This window comes from Homo sapiens, chromosome 6 (genome assembly GCF_000001405.40).
Source record: "Homo sapiens chromosome 6, GRCh38.p14 Primary Assembly".
NCBI classification, from domain to species: Eukaryota; Metazoa; Chordata; class Mammalia; order Primates; family Hominidae; genus Homo; species Homo sapiens.
This window is the reverse complement of record NC_000006.12, coordinates 15,198,715-15,204,661: the sequence shown is the minus strand read 5'-3', so window position 1 is coordinate 15,204,661 and position 5,947 is coordinate 15,198,715. Positions and strand designations below refer to the sequence as shown.

General features: G+C 47.6%; 1 annotated feature.

Moving 5' to 3' along the window:
* Positions 571-1,123: an enhancer, noted in NCBI's record as "H3K4me1 hESC enhancer chr6:15203770-15204322 (GRCh37/hg19 assembly coordinates)". NCBI's record gives its function as "activates a minimal SCP1, AML or CMV promoter by ChIP-STARR-seq in primed H9 embryonic stem cells {active_cell/tissue: H9 hESC(primed)}" and the evidence as "EXISTENCE:reporter gene assay evidence [ECO:0000049][PMID:30033119]".

Genomic DNA, 5,947 nt, shown 5'->3' with positions numbered 1-5,947 from the left:
CAAATTGCTAGGATTACAGGCCTGAGCCACCCTGCCCGGCCAAGTTCTTAATAAGGTTCTTCTTTCCCTTAGCCCACCTCAGGCCACCTTCAAATGGCTGGGAACCCAAACCTGGGACAAAGCTGGTTACTGAAACTGCTTTTGCAAAATTATGACTGAGACGGTGAAAGAGCTCTAACTTAATGGATTCCATCTTGCTTCTAACCTCCAAGCTGTCCTTGTTCCTTCCTCGGTGTAGGCTGAACTAACTTTGGGAGAAACATATAGTTTATAGTTTAAACAAAGATGCTAACAGCCCTTTCCCAAAGCTGACCTCCTTCTTGCCTGGGGACTAGATTGCCTTTGTAGGACCAACATGAGCCATAAGATTAGAAATTATGGTTTAGGAGTCATGTAGCTGAAGGCTACAAGATCCTGACCCTCCCTAAACGGCTCTTAAGATCAGTGCTTGAGGCCGGGCACGGTGGTTCACGCCTGTAATCTCAGCACTTTGGGAGGCTGAAGCGGGCGGATCACGAGGTCAGATCAAGAACATCCTGGCTAACATGGTGAAACCCCGAATCTACTAAGAATTCAAAAAAAATTAGCCGGGCGTAGTGGCGGGCGCCTGTAGTCCCAGCTACTCGGGAGGCTGAGGCAGGAGAATGGCGTGAACCCGGGAGGCGGAGGTTGCAGTGAGCCGAGATCGCGCCGCTGCACTGCAGGTTGGGCAACAGAGCGAGACTCCGCCTCAAGAAAAAAAAAAAAATCAGTGCTTGAGATATTTTGCAGACCCTGCACTTGATGGGTCAGCTGGCCCCACCCAGATCAATAAACTGGCTCATCTGATCTTGTGGCCCCCACCCAGGAACTGACTGAGCACAAGAAGACACCCGGGACTCCCTTTGATTTCATCTCTGACCAATCAGCACTCTTGGCTCACTGGCTTCCCCCTACCCACCAAGTTATCCTTAAACTCTGCTCCCCAATTCAGGGAGACTGATTTGAGTAATAATAAAACTCCAGCCAGGCATGGTGGCTCACGCCTGTAATCCCAGCACTTCGGGAGGCTGAGGCGGGCAAATCACGAGGTCAGGAGATCCAGACCATCCTGGCTAACAGGGTGAAACCCCGTCTCTACTAATAATACAAAAAAATTAACCGGACGTGGTGGTGGGCGCCTATTAATCTCAGCTACTCGAGAGGCTGAGGCAGCAGAATCGCTTGAACCCGGGAGGCGGAGGTTGCAGTGAGCCGAGATGGAGCCACTGCACTCCAGCCTGAGTGATAGAGCGAGACTCTGTCTCAAAAATAAAATAATAAAATAAAATAAAATAAAATAAAACTCCAGTCTCCTGCACAGCTGGCTCGGTGTGAATTACTCTTTTTCTTTTCTTTTTCTTTCTTTTTTTTTTTTTTTGAGACAGAGTTTCACTGTTGTTGCCCAGGCTGGAGTGCAGTGGCGTGATCTCAGCTCACTGCAACCTCCGCTTCCGAGGTTCAAGTGATTCTCCTGCCTCAGCCTCCCGAGTAGCTGGGATTACAGGCATGTGCCACCACGCCTGACTAATTTTGTATTTTTTTTAGTAGAGACGGAGTTTCTCCATGTTGGTCAGGCTGGTCTCAAACTCCTGACTTCAGGTGATCCGCCCGCCTCGGCCTCCCAGTGTGCTGGGATTACAGGCGTGAGCCACCGTGACCGGCGTGAATTACTCTTTTTCTACTGCAGTTCCCCTGTCTTGTTGGATCAGCTCTGTCTAGACGGTAGGCAAGGTGAACCCCATACCTAGTTACATTACTGCTCTCCTCTCCCTGACCCCTTCTCATTTCTCTTTTCTTCTGGTCCTTTCTCTTCCTTCTCTCTCCACCTCCTTCTTCTCTCCCTTTTCTGCCTTTTCTTTCTCCTTTCTTTTGTTCTCCCATCTTCTTCTTCTTCAGTTGCTACCATTAATCCAGTACTGGGGATTCTAGGAAATGCTCCAATGTCTTTTTTTTCCTAATGTTTGTTAAAAATAAATTTTGCGGCTGGGTGTGGTGGCTCACACCTGTAATCCCAGCACTTTGGGAGGCCAAGGCGTGTGGATCACCTGAGGTCAGGAGTTCAAGACCAGCCTGACCAACATGGAGAAACCCTGTCTCTACTAAAGAAAAAATACAAAATTACCCGGCCGTGGTAGCGCATGCCTGTAATCCCAGCTACTTGGGAGGCTGAGGCAGAAGAATCGCTTGAACCCGGGAGGCGGAGGTTGCGGTGAGCCAAGATTGTGCCATTGCACTCCAGCCTGGGCAACAAGAGCGAAACTCTGTCTCAAAATAAATAAATAAATAAATAAATTTTGTTGGCCAAGCATGGTGGCTCATTCCTGTAATCCCAGAGCTTTAGAAAGTGGAGGCAAGAGGACTGACGGGGGCCATGAGTTTGAGTCCATCCTGGGCAACATATTAAGATCCCATTCCTACAAAATTTTTTTTTTTTAATTAGCCAGCAGTGGTGGTGGTGCTGCATGTCTATAGTACCATTTACTCAAGAGGCTGAGTTGGGAGGATCACTTGAGCCCAGGAGGTCAAGGCTGCAGTGAGCTGTGTTTATGCCACTGCACTGCAGCCTGGGCAACAGAGCCAGTCCCTGTATCAAAAAAGAAAAACAAAGCCACCAAGTCTGTGGTACCTTGTTATGGCAGCCCTAGCCAACTAATAGAGTTGCCTTGTCAATTTAACCTTGACCAGTGGCAAAAAGGGCCTAATGTTGAGTTATTTTTCTTGTAATGGGGATAGCCTGGGAGGTCAAGGCTGCAGTGAGATGAGATCTTGCTACTGCACTCCAGCCTAGGCAACAGAGCAAGAACCTATCTCCAAAGAAAACAAAACAAAACAAAACAAAACCTCCCTATGGGGCTGATGGCCTCTAGTTGTCCCCTCTAGGGTCCCCCTCAGCTTGAGGTTATGCTTTACAGGTCACCGCCTATGAATGGCTGAGCAAGGAGGTGGGTCTACAAGGGCTGGGCAGAATGTTTGTGCCCAGAAAAAATTCCTCTAGTAGGCATCGCTTGCTCCAGGGCTCCCTTGGGTTGGTATAGATTCTGTCACGTCTTCATCTTGGTCTGAAAGCTCCCCCTGTTCAATCCTTTATAACGCAACTGTGATAGAGATTTTATTATGCCTATTTAGTGTTGAAGACACTAAGGCTCAGAAAAGTTAAGAAATTTGCCTGAGGTCACCCAGATACTAAGACATGGAGCTAGGATTTGAACCAAGACAGCCTGGCTCCAGTGTTTGTGCCCTCTCGGCTGCTGGGCTCAGTGTGCAATACAGGGTAAGGCACAATGGCCCTGTTCCCCCACAAGCCAGTGGCATCTTCATCAATACTCTAATTTTTTTTTTTTTTTTTTGAGAAGGAGTCTCACTCTGTCGCCCAGGCTGGAGTGCAGTGGCATGATCTCGGCTCATTGCAACCTCCGCACCCTGGGTTCAAGCAATTCTCCTGCCTCAGCCTCCCGAGTAGCTGGGATTACACGTGCCTGACAAAGTGCTCGGCTAATTTTTGTATGTTTAGTAGAGACAGGGTTTCACCATCTTGGCCAGGCTAGTCTTAAACTCCTGACCTCGTGATCCACCCGCCTTGGCCTCCCAAAGCGCTGGGATTACAGGTGTGAGCCACCGTGCCCGGCCCATCAATACTCTAATTCTATCAGAGTCAGAAGATCATTCAGTGTGGTGTGCAGGATAGAGAAACTAGAATTCTGCCGTGCTTTTTTTTTTGAGGCAGAGTTTCGCTCTTTTTGCCCAGGCTGGAGTGCAATGGCTAGATCTCGGCTGACTGCAACCTCTGCCTCTCGAGTTCAAGCGTGATTCTCCTGCTCAGCCTCCTGAGTAGCTGGTATTACAGGCGTGTGACACCACACCCGTCTAATTTTGTATATTTAGTAGAGACGGGGTTTCACCATGTTGGCCAGGCTGGTCTTGAACTCCTGACCTCAGGTGATCCACCTGCCTCAGCCTCCCAAAGTGCTGGGATTACAGGTGAGTGCCACTGCGCCTGGCCTAGAATTCCTTCTTTCATCCTACAAACACCTCTCTAATCTCCTACTCTGATTGACCCCTTTCCCTGGTTTTAGACAAAGAGCTAACTTGAATAAAAGTAAGAATCAGAATAATTATTATAAAGTAGTAATAATATAAACTTAGCTCGCACATCATATGAGAGCGCTCATGATACCTACCTTTTCATCTGCACGCATGCACACATTTTCCTGCTTAGGATTTGTTCTTACATCTGCCTTGCAAAGAACTGTCCCCCCTTGTGAGTGTTCTTGTGGGTCTGTCCTCCTGCTGACCCTGAATTTCAAGGAGAAGGCAGATGCTCAGCTGCTGCTCAGCCCTCTGGCTATACTTTGAGCCTCAGAGAGACAAGCAGGTACATGATTTTCTGCCGCATTACAAATAGGGAAACATTAAGGAGTAGCTTGAGCTGTGCGTGTTATGCAGCATGGCTATATGGGCTTGATTGTCTTCCCGTGGTTTGGCTCAAAGGAAATTACAAATGTTATTAAACATTTACTGTATTTGTCTCATGGGACTTTCATTTAGACCCTTGATATATAAATGCTAGTTCTGGCCTGCAAGAATGGTAGTACCATTTATTAATGATTTACTATGTGCCAGGCACCATGATAGGTACTTTGCAGTCATCTATGCTTTCAACAGCTTTCAAGGTAGGCAGGATTGTCTTATTTCACTTAGGAGCAGATGGGAACAGTGGTTAAGCAACTGGCTTAAGTTCACACAACTAGTTAGTGGCAGAATTAGGATTCAAACTTAACTCTTTCTGGCTCCAAAGCCTGTTCAATGTGTCTTGCCACATAGCTTTGGGAAGAAATGGGGTTATGACACTCTGAACTTTAATGTTTTCAGATAGATATTAAGCTATTTATTAACTGCTCCATCCTAACAATTGAGGAGATAGACATCCTCCATCCCAAAACATTCTTCCCTTTTTACTGCCCTTTGTACTCCAACTGCCTCAGATAAAATTAGTCTCCACTTGGCCAGGAGTGATGGCTCACGCCTGTAATCCCAGCACTTTGGGAGGCCGAGGCGGGTGGATCACGAAGTCAGAAGATCAAGACCATCCTGGCTAACACGGTGAAACCCCATCTCTACGAAAAATACAAAAAATTAGCCGGGCACCGTGGCGGGTGCCTGTAGTCCCAGCTACTCAGGAGGCTGAGGCAGGAGAACGGCGTGAACCCGGGAGGCGGAGCTTGCAGTGAGCCGAGATCGCGCCACTGCACTCCAGCCTAGGTGCAAGAATCTGTCTCAAGAAAAAAAAAAAAAAAAAAAAAATTAGTCTCCACTTCTGCACATCCTATTCTCTCCTTGGCATACTTCACTTCACTTGGGCTCCCATGCCCACCATGTCACAGAAATGAGCACAGATCAATGACAATGCTCTTGTCATTGTCACCAATGACCTCCATGTTGTGAAATCTGTTGTACTCCCCCACTACCTTCATCTCAGGCTTTTAGGAATATTTGATGCCGTTCATCTATCCCTCCTCTTCTGTTTTTTCTTTTTTCTTTTTTGTTTGAGACGGAATTTCCCTTTTGTTCCCCGGGCTGGATTGCAATGGCGTGATCTTGGCTCACTGCAACCCCCACCTCCCGGGTTCAAGTATTTCTCCTACCTCAGCCTCCTAAGTAGCTGGGATTACAGGTGTGCACCACCATGCCTAGTATATTATTGTATTTTTAGTAGAGACAGGATTTCACCATGTTGGTTGGCCAGGCTGGTCTGGAACTCTTGACCTCGAGTGATATGCCTACCTCAGCCTCCCAAAAGTGCTAGGAATCCCTCCTTTTCTTTTTTTGAATTTTTATTTATTTATTTTTCTCAGAAATGGGGGTCTGGCTATGTTCCCAGGCTGGTCTTGAACTCCTGGGCGCAAGTGATCCTCCTGCGTCGGCCTCC